The sequence below is a fragment of the Homo sapiens genome, chromosome 1 (assembly GCF_000001405.40).
Source record: "Homo sapiens chromosome 1, GRCh38.p14 Primary Assembly".
NCBI classification, from domain to species: Eukaryota; Metazoa; Chordata; class Mammalia; order Primates; family Hominidae; genus Homo; species Homo sapiens.
In genome coordinates, this window is record NC_000001.11 from 3,553,115 (window position 1) to 3,569,737 (window position 16,623).

The 16,623-nt window shown below is 60.5% G+C and overlaps 1 protein-coding gene and 1 non-coding gene across 14 annotated transcripts in view; both read right to left on the reverse strand.

The window, feature by feature from the left end:
- MEGF6 (multiple EGF like domains 6) overlaps nt 1–16,623 on the reverse strand; it is a 136,836-nt gene that overhangs the window by 65,164 nt on the left and 55,049 nt on the right. The window lies entirely within an intron of this gene.
- MIR551A (microRNA 551a) lies at nt 7,581–7,676 on the reverse strand. The gene has a single exon (NR_030277.1). It is a non-coding gene; the product is annotated as a microRNA 551a (primary transcript).

Sequence of the window (16,623 nt, forward strand, 5' to 3'; positions counted from 1 at the left end):
CCTAACTACCAGGGCCTTGGAGCCAGGCTGCCCCATCACAAGCCCCGCCCCCCACTGACCCCCCAAATCCTCTTCCTTCCCTCCCTGGCTCCAGCCTGAGGATGGGGATCCACGGCCGATCGGCTTTCCCACCAGGGGCCCAGCCTGCCCAGCTCCCCCCACCCCAGGGTACTCCGGGTACCCTGTGAGCCTGGCGCCTCCAGCAGGACCCCCGCTGCCTACCCCTGGGCGTGCTGGGTCTTTTCCTGAGAGTCTTCAGGAACAGGCGGGACGGGGACACAGGCAAGAGACCCTCCCGCCCCCCACCAGCCCCAGGAGGAAGAGCTGACGAGGAGGGGGAGCCTCACCATGCAGGATAGAGGCTGGAGCCACGGGAGAGAGGCCTCCCCACACCCCAGGCAGGGGAGCTGTCCTCAGAGATGGTGATCCCTGAGCCAAGTCCGCCCACTGGGCCTCAGGCTATGGCAGGAGCAGGATTTACGAGGCCCTGCCTGCCCGGGAGGCCACGAATCTTCCCAGCCTGCAGTACTGGTGTCACCCAGGCAGGTCAGGGCTGGTCCCAAAACCTCAGCCAGGAGCACTGACGAAAACCAGCTGGCCCGGAGTCCACCACGAGTGGCTCCAGAGGAGAGGCAGGGCAGCGGCAGGCATCGGGGGCTTCACAGGGGGCCCTGCACTGGAAAGTCACCCCTTCAGGAGGGGTGGGCAGCCTCTCACCCCGCTGTGCCTCAGAGGTCCAACTTCTGGGAACAGGTGGGCCCGGGAGCACCCCGTTGGCCAGCACACCAGAAAGTGCCGACGTGGGTGGGTGGCACGGCTGGGGCCTGCCTGGTCTTCCTCCCCAGGAATGTTCTGCCTGGAACCCAGCTGCTCCCCTCCGCCAACACCTCAGGGGCAGGGACAAGCGGGGGGCCCTGTGCGAGCTTGCTCTGTGGGGCCCACATGCCTCCTGGTGTCCTGTGGGGAACAAGCTTGGCGCCTGCTTCCAGAACGCCTGCTTGGGGTGGGGAAGAGCACATGCGCCCCATCCCGCCCCCGGCAGCCACCGTGACCCCCTTGCCATGCACCCTGCTGCATGCCGTGGGCAGGGGCACTAAGACGACACCTCAGGAGGAGACGGTGAGGACTCTGGGTTCCAACACTGGGCTGGGAGCATCAACCAGCGCCCCGACCAGGCGGCTCCGAGAGAGTGTCGCTGGGGGATGGCAGGAACACTGGAAAAGCCAGCGGGGTCTAACAAGGGGTGGGGACCCAGCCGGGCCAGGCGGGAGGGGGACGGCACTCCAGGTGTCCCGGTGAGAGGGGAGGGCGGCTTCAGCCTGGGGGAAGAGGGGCAGGTAATTCACCTGGAGTCAGGTAAGGGCCCCAGGGTCCCAGCTGCTACAGGAGGCAGCTACATCCCTTTCCTGGGGCTGATGTACCAGAGTGTCACTAACCAGGTGGCTTAAACAACAGAAGCCTCTCTTAAAGTTTTAGAGGCCGGAAGTCCAAAGTGAGAATGACTGGGCCCCCCAGGCAGGTGCTCCAGAGCCTCTCCCACAACTGGATCCTCTCACTCTAGCCTCTGTCTCTGAGGTCCCCCTGCCCCTCCTCTCCTGTGCCAGCCTCTCTCCCTCCATGAGGACATGAGTGACAGCATTCAGGGTCCACCTGGGCAACCCAGGGCCACCTTCCCATCTCAAATTCCTGAAAGTGATCACATCTACAAAGTCGTTGCCATTCAAGGTAAAGGTCACAGTTCCCTGAGATTAGGCTGTGGACATCGCGGGGCCACTATTCTGGAAACCACAGTGTGGAGGCTAGGGCCACTGATTTGGGGGTTGGCCTCTTCCAGCTCCCTCAGGGAAAAGACAGGGCGGCTGGCAGGGGAGTGGGACAAGGGCTGATCCCAGGTCCTGCCCGGCCCTCTCCCGTCCTGGAACCCAGCCACACCCTCTTGTCCAGGGCAATGGGAGAAAGCAGGAAAGACCAAAGCCTGGATCCCACCAGGCCAACACCCCACGCACGGGGCCTGCTGGCCGGAGAGAAGCACAGGTGGTCCCCACCACCCACCCACCCACCCACCCAGGGCTATGGATCAGGGCCGAGAAGGGGCCTCTTCTGCCCAAAAAGACAGCAAGCAGGAGGAGCTGGGCACGAAGAGGGTGTGAGCTGCAGGAGGCCTCTCCCTGCGCCTCCACCCACGCTCAGCTGGAAGCCAGGTGCCCAAAGGCAGGGCAGAGGCCCTGAGGGCCAGGTTCCAGGCTGGCATGGCCTCAGGCCGCTGGGTGTGGCTGACCCCCAAGCCGCTCTGGGCCTCCACCACCCATGTCCAGACGAGACAGGAAAGTACAGGCAGGATGAGAGCCGGGGCAAGGCGACTCCTGTAAGCACTGAGGGCGCCGTGTTTAATGTGGGCGGCTCAGAAATGAAAGCAGGAGACGGCAGAGCTCCTGGGGTCTGGCCTGCGGCCCCCATCCTCCACGACTAGAACCAAGACCCCTGTGGTTCTCATGGCTGCAAAGGGGGCCCCAGGGAGCTGAACCCGTCAGTGAAACAGCAGGAGCCTGCAGGGCCGAGAGGAGCCTTCTCCAGCCCGCCCTGCCCCGCAGGGCTGCCAGGTCAGGTGCCTGCTGCCGCTCATGCCAGAAGCTCCTCCTGGGGTCTCAGGCCAAGACCTGGAAAGCCGGGCCAGCGGCGGCATCCAAAGGCAGGACTTGCCCCTGCCCCCAACCAAGGAAGCGAGGTATCCTGGAAGACTGAGCTGGCATCCTTCTGAGCATCTGTCCAAGAAGAAAGTGCCCCAAATAAGTCTCCAACTCAAGCTGTCCCATCATCTCTGGGGGAGGGACTGTGGCTGCAAGTCCACCTAGGACTGGCTACATCTCAAGTCTGCCCGCCCACCCACAGGACTCACGGGATCCTGGCTGGCCCTGGAACCAGCTGGAGTCCGTGGCCAGGGGAGCCCCTCTCCAAGGTGGGCTGGGTTCAGAGACCTTGGGGGTGGGCTCCACCTGTTACAGCAGGAGTGGCCTTCCGTGGCCCAGGTGCTAAGTGAACCACGTCCCTGTTGCTGGGCCACCCTGTGAGTCCATGCTCTGCTCCCCAAGCCCCGTCAGGATTTCCCAGGATGGGGAGTGGGGCAGGGTCCCCATACATAACCTAGAGCTCTGTGTGAGGCCCGCAGGCCAGGTCAGAATTAAACTCCATGATCTTGGCACAAAGACACCCCCATGAGCTCCCAGAGGTGACAACGTCACACTCATTACATGAAGTTTCATGGTAAGTGGCGCATCCAAAACCGCCGGCTGGCTGAACCAAATTGGCCCGGGACCTCCTCACGGAGCCACAGCCAGCAGGGGTAGGAGAAACCTCGGCAAAGCAAGAGACGCCCTGGGCCTCCTCTCGGCCGCCCACCAGGTTTTCTGCCTGCTTCCCACTCCAGTGAGTCAGGAGCGGGTCACAGAGGCTGCAGCAGCGGAACTACCTGCAAATGAGAGGACAGAGGACCCGGTGACTGCCTGAGGCCGGGACACACTGGAGACGAATAGGACTGACCACCAAGCAGACTGCAGGCAGCTTAAGAGCTCCATTGTGGACAAGGGGTGGCACGTACGTTATCCTTCAAAACAGGACACTGGAGAGCAGAAGAGGCTCCAGTGAAAACACAAGGATGCAGGTACTTCACGTCCCTGTCCCAACCACACGCGCTCACAGACCGGAGAATGTTAAAAACTGCCGAGCCTGCCGGGTGAGGATGGTGAGGCTGCCTCATGGTACAGGGGAGCCAGGGCTGTGGAAAGAACGAAGGCAGCCCCTCAGCCGACCTGACCTAGGAAGCCGATCCCGGCTTATCTGGGGGGCCTGGTGGAATCACATGGAGTTTCATGGGTGCTGGGGATGCGGGGAAGGCAGGAGGGAAGGTCGGAGTCAGAGAGAGAGGCAAGGACATCGCAGCAGCCAGGAGAGACGGGCGCTGCTGCCTTGGAAGGACGAGGAAGGAGCCACGAGCCAAGGAACGTGTGAGCTCCCCAAAAGCTGGAAAAGGCAGGGAGACGGCAAGACTCTCCCTGGGTCCCCAGAAGGGACCAGCCCTGACAAGACCTTGGCGTAAGCCCAGGGAGACCTGAGCTGGGATTCTACCTTCTACGACTAGAGATCACAGATCTGTGCTGTTTGAAGCATTACACTTCTAACCATTTGTCATGGCAGCAAAAGAAAAATTGAACCTTTACCATGAAAAACAAACAGAACGCAGCTTCCCCCGCAGAGCTCTGCAGGCTGCTCCCGGCTGCAGCTGCCCTTGGCTCCCAGGGTGGCGAGGGCATCCTGCCCGGCCAGGCTGGCCTGGAGGGGTCTTGAGGAGGAGCCACTGTCTAAGCAAGCCCGGCGTCCAGGCTACGTGCCCACCTCGCTGGGCGGTTATCTCTGCGCCTGCAGCTCAGAAGCCCTGCCAGCCTGCGGTAGCCAGAACATTCCAACCCCAATTCCCATCAGACCCCGCCCCACCTTGGCACAGGCCACAGGGAGCCGGACACAGGGCCCGCTCATCCCTCGCTCACTCCCACAGCCAGCGCTGCGGAGCACCGAGGGATGCCCAGCCCTGGCAAGGAGAGACGGGGGGCCCAGGAAGCACCAGCAGCAGGGGGAGTTCAGGGGATAAAGTGCAGAAGGGCATATCAGGGAAGGCCTCCCAGAAGAAGCGGCCCGTGGGCAGACGTCGTTTGCACAGGCTCAGGGAAAACCGTCTAATCTATGAGGCGCCGTCCGGGTGGGCACAGCAGTCAAGAGGGCTGGGTGTCTCCACAGGCTCTCAGGAAACAAACATCGAAAGCTCAGCCCTATCGTGAGTGTTGTTGGGTGGTCTGCTGTGTAAAGGAGCCACACAGAGCCCTCTGCATAGGAAGCATGCTTCCGCGGTGCAGCTGGCCTTCCCCTCCCCGCTCCGTGCAGTGGTTCAGCCGGGCCGGTGGTCACGATCTGGATGTGCTAAGTTCAGAGTCTCCTTCAGACCCTCAGCACTCACTGCCTGCAGGACACACATCACCCAGCTCTCCTGGTCCAATGTCACCGAGGTGACAGCTCCAGGAACTGCCTGACCAGCTTTTCTCCTTTCTCCACTCTGAGGACTGTGCAGTGCCACCGTCCCTGCCTCTCTCGTCCCCTCCTCTCTCTCCCACTCCACCAACTGGTCATGCATAAATGTACATGTGACTGTGTCGACCTCCTTTCTAATTTTCTTCTAAAACTGAACATCTAGGTCTGGTGCGGTGGCTCACACCTGTAATCCCATCATTTTAGGAGGCCAAGGCAGGAGGATCACTTGAGGCCAGGAGTTCAATATGTTGGGACAACTAAGGCCCTCCTCAAAGACTCAACTTCCTGGTCATAAGTTGTAAGGTTGTAAATCAACCCTACCCCCTTCCTGCCCCGACTTCCCTTTTTCTTGCTCGCAAGACGTGCGTTTTCCCTATTTGGAAAGAGTTTCGTTCTAAGCCAACTGGGATCAGCTTAGGTTGTGCGGTCCAACTGCAGCCAATAGGGGAAAAACACAGAAACCAGAACTGCGTTAGGGATAAAAATCCCTTCCTTTCTCTGTTCGGTGTGCTCTTGCGATCGTGATGGATGCGAGCAGCACCCTTCTGCCTTGCTGAGAAGTGAAGTTGCCTTGCTGAGAAATTTTTGGTCTAAGTGCTGGTTCTTGTTTGCAGCGCTGAGCACCTGTTTCTAACAAATACTAGCCTGGGCAACACAGCAAGACACCATCTCTACAATTTTTTTTTAAATTGGTTGGGCATAATGGGGTGCCTGTGGTCCCAGCTACTCAGGAGGCTGAGGGGGAGGATCACTTGAGCCCAAGAGTTCAAGGCTGCAGTGAGCCATGATTGTGCCCCTGCACTCCAGCCTGGGTGACAGAGTGAGACCCTGTCTCAAAACAAAACAAACAAAAATAAAAATGAAAAATAAAACCGAATATCTTAGAAGATTCTTCTCCATCACTCATCCCCTCCCTCTGCACTGGGAGCTCTGGGAGCTCTGGGAGGCAGCTCACTCTGCAAGGTGGTTGGAGGAGGAACCCTGGGGGCCTCTGCAGTGCACTAAGGCCATTCGGCATGGCAGCCACTTGCCCCGTCCTTAAACCTCAGGCCCTGAGAAGTCATTCCAAAACTACTACCTTCCATGGGGTGGTTCCTCCTAATTTAGGTTACTGGTCTTGCAACAGAAGAGCTTCCTCACACCACTAGGAACCTCGACATTTGACCATTCAAACATCAACTTGCAGCCCAGCAAGGTAGCACACACCTATAATCCCAGTGCTTTGGGAGGCTGAGACAGGAGGATCATGTGAGCCCAGGAGTTTGAGGCTGCAGTGAGCTATGACTGTGCCACCGCACTCCAACCTGGACAAAGAGCTAGACCTTGTCTCTTAAAAAAAAAAAAAAAAAAAAAAAAAGAAGAAGTCTACTTGCAAACACTTGTGATAATCACACTTACAAACCCAGTGGCTTGGGAGTGGGACGGTGGGAGTATGAAGCCCAGACACTGAAAGCGCAGAGCCATCCTCTGCGGAAGACACAGGAAAGGAGGCGTCTGGACATGCACCAAGCAAGAAAGCACCAAAATAAGCACTCGCCCGGCCGGGTACGGTGGCTCAAGCCTGTAATCCCAACACTTCGGGAGGCCGAGGCGGGCAAATCACGAGGTCAGGAGTTCAAGACCAGCCTGGCCAACATGGTGAAACCCCATCTCTACTAAAAATACAAAAAATTAGCTGGGCATGGTGGCAAGTGCCTATAATCCCAGCTACTCGGGGGGCTGAGGCAGGAGAATGGCATGAACCCGGGAGGCGGAGGTTGCAGTGAGCCGAGATCACACCATGGCACTCAGCCTGGGCAACAGTATGAGAGTCCGTCTCAAAATAAAAGAAAAAAAAAAAAAAAAAGGAAACACGATGAGCCCATCTCCTGGGAGTCGGGAGGTGCTCTCAGGGCAGGAGAGGGCCTGGCAAGGTTAGTCCCAGAGGGCAAAGAAGGCTGGGCTTTTTTTTTTTCTTTTAACTAATAGATTTTATTTTTTAAAGCACTTTTAGGCTTATGGAAAAACTGGACAGAAAGTACAGAGTTTCCTTCTCCCAACACACATAATTTCCTGTATCATTCAATCCTCCATTGGAATGACCGCTTGGTACAGCGGACGAGCCCACGTTGACACATTGTTGTTAACTGAGTCCAGGGTTCCTTTCAGGGCCCACTAGGGGCTGTGCATTCCATGGACTTGGACAAGTGTCTCATGGCCTGGATCCACCATTGTAAGATCACGCAGAGGAGTTCCTGCCCTAAAAATCCTCTGTGCTCCGCCTATTCACCCCTTCCTCCCTCCTTCCTCACCCCTGGCACCTCTGCTGTCTCTACGGTGTGGCCTTTCCCAGCAGTGTGTGGCCTTGGACTGCTGTCCTCACTCAGCAACTTGCATTGAGGGGCTGAGAGGCCCCCCTGTTCTCCAAGAGAAACGCTCCATAGGCAGGGAAAGGCTCTGGGGATCCGGGGTCCCTTCCCAGGCTTGGGGGAGGCTGGGTGCCATCAACCCCTCCCCATCTGTGGTTTCCAGGGCAACCCTGGAAACCAAGAGTGGGTCGCCTAGAAACGGTCAGACTGGCCCCACCCACTCTGGATTTCCAGGGTCACCCGGCAGTCCCCTCTGGCAGCCACCGGAGCAGCCAGGAACAGCCTCAGGCGTCGGCCGCGAGGGGGTTGCTGGGCTGGCTGGTCCCCCAGGTCTCTACGCGAAGGGGGTGCTGGGCTCTACCCCCAGGCCTCTACTACCCTCTGGCACACATCCATCTAGTGCCCCAGGGGCTTCGGAGGGCAGGGGTCAGCTCTAGGCCCTTCTGTACTCCCAGAGCCAGGCATACAGGAGTCTCTGGGTCACATGAAGCTGAAGGTTCTCCCCCAAGTCTGCCCTGGTCTCTGGCAGGAGATGCTACAAGGGTAAAGGACCCGCTGGCAGGAGAGACGGCCTTTCCAAGGGGAGGCGGCACGGCAGGTCGGGTGGAGGCTGCACGCAGACCTGAGGCTGATGGAAGGGGGAGATGCAGGCTTTGAGCTGAGCTCCAGGCAATGGGCAAGGGAGGGCCCCTCCACGCTCAGCTGAGGAGCAAGGGCTACGGGGCACTCAGAGCTTCCTGTCCAGCCAGGAGCCCCCTGGGGACCCAAGCTGGAGAGGGACTCAGGCATCTGGAAGGGCCGGCAAGTTGGCAATGGGAGGCCCTGAAGGTTCCCACACAGGACCCCAGGGTGAAGAAGTCACTAACACTGTTTCCAGAAGTGGGGTCACCCCGCTGGACCAGAAGGGCCCCATCACCTTCTGCCATCAGCCCAGGACGCAACGCCCTCACCATCACTGCTGGTGGAGAGACCCTTCCTGCAGACACCAGGCCTGGATGGTCGGGGACCATGCACCCCGCAGGGACAGAGTCACAGACCCGGGGGAGCTTGTGGGAGGCCCAGGAGCCAGGTCTGGATTCAAAGTCAGGTGCGGCTGATGACAAAGACCGTTCCCGCCCGCATCCTGGGTGTGCCCTAGGAAAGCTGCCTCTTCCAGAAACGCAGAAGCAGCAACAGAAAACACGGGGTGGGGTGGCGGGGCACACGGCAGGGAAGCCTGTCCTGCCAGGCCATCTGACTTCGCTCTCCTGACTTCTGACAGTTTCTCTGCTTACTCTGAAGTTACCAGGTTTGTCCTGTTTCTACAAACCAGCCTCCAAAACGTGGGAGGGGGCTTTTCGTTCCCATTTGTTTCCCAGAAAACAAGACAAAATGTCAAAGGAAGGAAGCCAAGAACATTCCTTGGTTCCTCCAAAGATCCAGGTCTTCACTCCCCTCCGTGGCCGAGTTCCTGGGACGTTTCATTCTTTGGCGGTGCTGGTGGGAGGCCAGCGTCATGCTTAGCGGCTGCCCCAAACCAAGGGTAAGGGGTAGGGGTAGGGGGCTGGTGTGGGCGAGCCAGGCAGTCTCTCTGCCCTCTCCTCTGTGTGTCTCTCAGCCTATTTCCGTGTCTCTGTCTCTTTTTGTGTCTCTCTCTGTCCTTTCTCTGTGTCTCTATTTCTCTGCGTGTTTGTCTCTTTTCCTCCATCTCTATCTTTTTCTATCTCTCTATGTCTCTTTGTCTCTGTCTTTTTCTCTGTCTCTCTTCATCCCGGTCCCTCGCTGTGTCTCTGTCTCTTGCTGTCTCTCAATATCTGTTTCTCTGTCTCTTTGTCTGTCTCTCCATCTCTCTTTGTGTCTCCCTCTCTGTCTTTGTCTTTCCCCCAAGGGCACTGATTTCTGACTCATGTGGGGTCCACCCAGATCCCCAAACCCTCGCATAGTCAATACCCACAGGAAGGAACCCAGAGGCTCAGAGGGCCTGGCCCCTGGCATCCCCCTCAGTCTGGACACAGGCTGTGACACTCCCTGCGCCTCTGGCTCAGCCTCTGAGTGCAGATCAAGAAGAATAAGAATCTGGGGCTCAGCACTTTTCTATGATTTCCTTAAGCAGAGCTCAGACCCCCGCCAGGGGTGGGCTGGAGCCTTGCTGGGAACCCCCCAGGTCGGAGAGCCACTACCAGGCTGGACCAGCCAAACCCTCACATCTCTCCGGTCTGAAACCAAGGGTTGGACAGGCTCAGGCCTCTGTTGTTCATGCACCTGCTGACCAGCCCCTCGACCAGACCGCCCCGTCCAGCACTCAAGGCCAGCAGCAACACCTCCCTCTGGGCCAGCTCCGGACAGGGCCTTGGTGACAGTGGAGGTGAGGACCTTGCTGGGCCAGCCCCTCTGTACACCCACCCCCAGGAAGGACGGTGGGCTGTCCTCAGGCGCCCCCAGGCCATGGCTGGAGGAAGGCTTTCAGGCACCTCTCTGCCCACCGAGGCAGCCCCCATCCTGGACTTCTGTCATCCCCTTGCTGGTCCTGCCCACACCCCTTCTTGGTCCAGTACAAGGGTCCCTCCCTGGAGGCTGCCTGCTCTGTTGAGCAGCCCTGCCCCTGCCCCCTGTGTGCAAGCCCAGCGCCGGCCCCTCACAGTGAGTCACACACATCGCACATGCACCTTGTAGGTAGCCTGTCCCACCTGCCCAAACCTTCATCAAGACCATGGTTTCCCGGGGTCCAAGCCCATCTCCCTGTCACTCACATATGGCCACGACGCTGGGCACTGCAGGCCCAGAGTCAAGCCCCATGCCTGGCACCTATGGCAGCCCAGGTGTCTGGGCTTGGTGGACAGAGCCTCCCACCGCCCAGACCACCTGCCCTGTCCACAGACCAGGCCACGCCCCAGCTATAGGTCCGTCCCCTCGTCGTAGCTGGAGTCACAGCTGGGGCAGGGGATGTCTGCCTCCCCACTGGACTGTAGGTCCCTGAAAACAGGCCATGCCTGCTCGGCCACCATGGTGTGGCCAGCCCCCGATCGTGCCTGGCACCCGGGAAAGGCCAGCAGACATTTTAGAAGAACGCACTTTGCTGACGGACATGGAGTGAGGAATGTTTCACTCATGAGCTGGGTTTGGCGTCGGTTCTATGGTTTTCTGCAGAGTCCCCCTCTGGCTCCCCTGACACCCCTAAGAAAGAGAGACGAGGCTGATGTTCAGGTTGTTTGAATTAAGGAGGCCCTGGGGTCAGCAAGTCCTGCTCCCATTCTACAGATGTGAACACTGAGACGGAGAGGCTGGCACAGACACCTGAGTGTGGGAGGCGCAGGCCCTGCGGTGTCTGCGCGTCTGGGGAGGGAAGTCAGACCTGCCAGGTGCCCTGAGAGGCCAGAGCCTGCCCCTTCCCAAGGCAATAGCAAAACCCTGCGACCTGAGGGCACTTGTCCTGCCAGGCCAGCCCCTCCTGGGCATAGGCACAAACAGCAACTGCTCGTTGTAAGGGATAATTGGAAGGACAGCCGAGAAAGGAATGAGGCCAGTAGACCCAAGTTCAGGCAAGCTGATTTACTGTCAGTCCTGCCGGGCTACCTCCTGACAACAGCAGAGGAGGCAGCCCTGCTTACAGACTATGGCAGGGCTTTATAGGGCGAGGAACTGGGTCAGGGTGGGGGAGCTGAGTCGGGGTGGGGGAGCTGAGTCGGGGGTGCAGAAGGGCTGAGTCGGGGTGGGGGAGCTGAGTCAGGGGTGCAGGTGTCTTGACTGTATCCTAGAGATGTTTTTTGCCAGCTTTGTTATGCGAGGTGAACAGATGTTAACCTCATCTTGTAACTGCCTGGACAAACAGCTACTGGAGGGGTCAGTAAAGCGGGGGGTTGTCTTTAGCCCTGGGGGAGCTGTGCAGAGGTCACAAAAGACTGCATTGTAAGACCCATGGGAAGGGAGAGGGAACAGTCTGGCCGGGGTGACCCTAATACTCGTGTTCCTTCCCTCACATCTACTGGAGCCCAAGCTTCCCCTCCCTCTCCTGTGCCCAGCACTGGCCTCCTCTCCCCACTGTGCTGGTCTAAGGTTGCCCTGGCCACCAGCCCAGCCCTGGCAAGAACCACCATCTCTCCTGGTGGCCACACAACCTCCTCACTGGACCGCCTTCCTCGACCTCCAATGTCCAGAGGTAGCTCCCCAAAGCAGGGGTATGGCCCCCACTCCCTTAAAACCCTCAGCCATGCAACAGGGGTGAGTGTCCCACTGGACAAACCCACTCTGCACCAGGCTCCCCCAAAGCTGGGGACGGGCCCCCTTCACCCCCATCTGGGCCCACCCAGGTCCTCACACAGACAGACCTCCCCTCCTGTGAGGCCCCGCCATCCCCACTACCACGGTCCCGCTCTGGCCGAGGCATTTTCCAGCCTGTATCCTGACATTTTCCATGGCCCCGCTCCAGCCGAGGCATTCTCCAGCCCCATATCCTGACATTCTCTACGGCAGGCACCACCGCTGAATTACACCTTTCCTTCCAATTCTGTCCCAGCACCAGGACGCGGACCCAGGAGGGCAGGGGTTTTGCTGGACTGGCTGGTGGGTTCCAAGCACAGGGCCTGGCACGCAGTGGGGTCCGGCGATGGACGCATGAATGAAGCCCCCTAGGTACCCCCTTCTTACCCTGGAACCCCCTGCCTGGGTCTCGTCCTCTCTCCCACTGTGTCCCCGAGGCCTGGGCAGTTGGGCGTCCCCAGGCGCCTCCTTGTTTATCAGACATGGCACCGAGATGGCATCAGCAGTGGGTGAGAAACACACGTGCAGAGCCCATCCCCAGACCCCACTCTGCCCCAGAGTTCACCAAGTTCCCTTCCTAGCTGGACCTTAAAACCCCCCGGGTCCTGGTGCCTGCTCTGGCCTCTCAAGGCCACCAGGGGGTGCCAGCGCCCCACCCTGAGCACGCGGCAAGAAGGGAGGTGGGGACCCCTTGATTGCAGGAGGCCCCTTCCAAGAGGGGTCCAGGGAGCAGGACCAGGAGCCTATCGGTGCCTGGCTTGAGAGGAGGACGCTTCGTGCGGGGCTGCCTGGCCTGGCCCTGGACGGTCCCCATGGTAGGACCTGGGGCACAGCACCAGGGTGCCCGGTGTCCAAGAACCTCCTGAATTGCCCAGTTAAACAGAGTGGCATGGGGCTGTCCAGGATTCCCTGTCCCAGGGGTTCAGGGGCCTGTGTGTGCCAAAGCCCACTGCAGTTTCCCAGGAGGGCAGGGGACCCCCAAGTGGAGGTGGCCACGTCACCAAGAACAGAAGTGCGTGTGGACATCCAGGTGCCTTCCAACTCTGCTCCAGCCACGCTCGGCATTCCGTCCAGGGCAGGCACTGTGGACCCTGACACCCAGCGGCACAGGGACTCTCATGGGGTGCAGTGGGGATCCAGCTTCCTCCTCCCTGAGACCTCAGGGTCAGCTGCTATAGGACCCGCCGTGGACCACTGCCCTGCAGGTTCATAGAGCCCTGATCCCACCACGGTGGGTGACCTCCCCCAGCGCTCTCAGCAGAGAAGACATTGACCCCTGAGGCTGACCTGGGTAGCAGACCCCTGAGGCCAGCACCGGCTGGAGACTTTAGGAGGCTGTCAGCACCTCAGTCACCTCCTTCTCCTGCAGTCACTGTCCTGTTCTTGGCTAGCCTGGCCTCAGTGATGCTGCCCAGGCCCCCGGCTTGACCGGGCCAGAGGGCCGGGCCCTGCTCTGGAATGCCTGGGGCAGCCACATCAGAGAACAGATTCCAGAAGCACGCAGCCCCTCGCTTGCAGAGCCTCATTCATTACTCCATGGGAAGGGGGGCATGGGTATCGCCCCAGGAATCTTAAAAATGGGCAAAATCAGCAGAGGTCCTGGCATCTGCCTCCCTGAACAGGGTTGGCACTGGGCAGCCAGCGCTAAGGCAGGGTGGGCACAGGACGCCGGCCAACCTGGGGCCCACTTTGGCAGCCAGGCCAAGAACCGAGCTGTTCACAGGCCGCTCTGGAAGACCTGGGTGTTCCCTTGCTGGAAGGAACCCCGCAGGGCCAGCAAGCCCCACCTGTCTCTGGGCAGCGTCACAGGCAGACCTCGAGGACCAGCCGCTCGGCCCATCAGAGGGACCCCGGGGCCCTTCCCCCAACGCACTTCACGCTATGAGCCCCCCGGCGCCCCATCAAACAGCTGGAAATGGCTGGGGCTGGAGAGGCCACAGAGTCCAGGTCAGCTGCCCAGGCACATGAGGGCACGCCCTAGAGGGGCTTTGCAGGGATCCCAGCAGACACCTGGGCTGGCTGGGTCCTCGGTGCTACAAAGCGATGGCCCCCAGAGCTCACCCAGACTCAGGAGGCAGCAGTGCCTCTCTCCTCCAGCCTCAGAAATAACTGGGTGCTAGACTGAGTGCATCCTGGGGAGCGTCCTATCTGACTCTCACCACGGCCCCTACGGCGGCCCTCACTACCACACCTGTTTTCCCAGGGCGGAAACTGAGGCATAGTGAGGCCGTCCTGGCCAGGTGTAGCACCCAAACCCACCAGGGCCCCACACCCCAGCGGCAGGTGCACTTGGGGCCTGCTGCTGCCCTGTGGTGGCCAGAAGGGCCCCAGCCCTGGTCGCACGGTGCTGGCAGATGGGCAACGCCTCACCTACCCTGCCAGAGTGCTAGAGGCAAAGATGTGAGCAGGAGCCGGGCCACACGGCGAAGACAGAGCCCTGGTCCCTCCCAGGGATGCACTGGACATGGGCAGGGCCTGGACACGCTTCCTCCCTTCCTACCCGCCAGGGCTCACCCAGCCCAGACCTGCCCCTGAGGCCACAGCTCCAGAAGGCCCAGGCCCTGCCTCCTCGCCTCTCCTGGGATCCTCCCCTCCCTACAAAGGCCCCAGTCTTGGGCATAGCTCCCCAAAGCCGGGCTGTCAGTGGACTGGCACTGCCAGAGGTCAGGTGGGACCTGCAGACCCTGCGTGTTTATTGATTGCACGTGGGCTGCGTGTGGCGGGGATCCCTCCTGCACCCCCAGCATGGACATGCCCCCCCCAGGCTCTCCCAGGACAAGCCACCTGCCAGCCAGCACCGCGCAGCCCTGCAGGCTCTGACCACAGGTCCCGTTTGCCGGGGACACGGCCAGCCTGGCCTAGCTCCTTGGCCATCACACCGTGGGCCCTCGGTCCCTAGGAGCACCTGCGACCCAGAGCGTCACCCTGCAGGCCGGGGTTGTCCAGCCAGGGGCAGGGGGGCCTGGGACGCTGCAGCGACCTTGAAGGAGACGGCCCTCCACCGACCTGTCCTCCGGGACCTGGTGCAGGCAGGACAGGCCTGTGTTTCTATGACAGGTTCATGGTAGGACCTCGGCATAGGAAACCCCTCCCCTCTTTCCTCACTTAGGTGGCTGAGACCTGCCAGGAGCCCAGAAACCAGCCTCGGGCTCCCCCAGGCTGCTGCCCGCCACCCTGGACCCTTCTTCCCAAGGGTCTCACAGGCACTGCCGTGCTGTGGGACAGGCCCAGCCACGGGGCCCAGCTGCTGAGGAGGCAGAACCCGTCCCATAAACGCCAGAGAGGCCTGGCGTGCAGGATCGCCTGCAGGAATTCCCCAGGAATTTGCACCCGGAGTCTCCACAGCTCAGCCACAGGCTGCAATTTGACTCGTCAACATGTCTACTGCAGCCAGGGCCTCTGGGGTGCAGAGGCTCCCAGAGATTCCTGGAGTGATGAGGGGGTGAAGTGTGCAGGACCTGCCATGAATGTGTCATAGACACACTGGGCCTTAGCCCTCAGTGCACCCAGTGTGTGCTTGGGTAAAAACCAAGGCCCCTGAGGGCTCTGGCCTCCAGGAACACGGCAGGGGAATGGGGGCTTCGGTAGTGGTCCTAGGTCCCACATGGGGGCTTCAGTAGTGGTCCTAGGCCCCTCATGGGGCCCACGGAGGCCACCCCTTTGGCTAGAGCAGGACAGGGAGGCTCAAGCAGCAGCTCAGCCCAGCAGGCTCCTTAGGAGTCCCAGCACGCACCCACTTTCTTCAGGATGGGGGCCCATCACCTGCACCCCAAGCAGCTCTCCCCAGCACTCAGGCTAAGAGCCCCCCAAATGCAAGGACACCCACAAACCATCCCCTGCCTGGCCCCTTCGAGCCACCTCTGTTGCCCCCATGCCCTGCCCTGGATGCCAGCCAGTGCCCTATGACCTTGCCGGCCAGCCCTTTAGCCCCTCCTGACGGTGGGTTTCTCTACATCAGCAGGATGGGCCGTGAGCACCGCAGGGGACACCTGTGTCCTCTGCACCTTACAGAAGCCCTGTGGGTGAGGTTTGCCCCTCTGCTCCCTCCACCAGCCAAACACAGCCTGAACCCACAAGGGCCTGCAGAGCGTGTTCACAGGGTGCAGGTCTGCACCCCAGCTCCATGCAGCTTGGCCTAGCCTCTCTACCCAGAAAAGAACATGCCAAACCCTCAGTGTGGCCCATGAGAGCTGTCAGGCTGGGCACTGCAGCTTCCAGGCGAGTGGGCAGAGCCTGGCTTCACTCAGCTGGCAGCTGCCCGGTACGGGTCTGCCAGAGGCCAGGGCACAACCCATAGCCCCAGACACTCCCAGAGGGAGCTCCTGCAGCCGACTCCATCCGCCATAGCCACCTCCAGCCCACACCCTAGAGACCCCCGCCACCAGCCGCCTGTTCAGGGGGGGAGACCGAGGCTCCTTCAAAGATGCAGGACCCAAAGAAGCAGGGACAGCCTCTGGGACCCATCACAGGGCACCCAGGCCACACCAATGCCCAGACACCACCCCGCCGCCCCTCAGCCGGGGCTCCCAAAGGCCCTCAGCCTTGCCCTGGGCAGGCGGTCAAGGGCCAAAGGCCAATACCAAGTCCATCACTGACTCCAAGCAACTCAAGAACTGCCAGGGGCTCAGTATCCCCATCTGTGAAGTGGAACAGGCACAGCCCCACACCCGGATGCCATGGTCAGCCCCAGTGCTGCCCTGAAGTCCAGGGAATCTGGATGGGACAGGATGGCCGAGGCAAGGATCAGGGGACTCAAAGGATCCTGGAGGCTGAAGGTCTCTGACACACCCAGCTAGTGGGAAGAGCTGTCCAAGGAGACCATCCAGGAGACTGGGGGGCCACGGGGTCTCCGGCCTGGGGCAGGCACAGGGAGCCAAGAGGCCTGGTCGTCCTCTGAACAGTGTTGAAGTGGCCTGCCACCGGGCTCAGTGGCTGCCTGGACAGCCGTCCATGCTATGGGCAG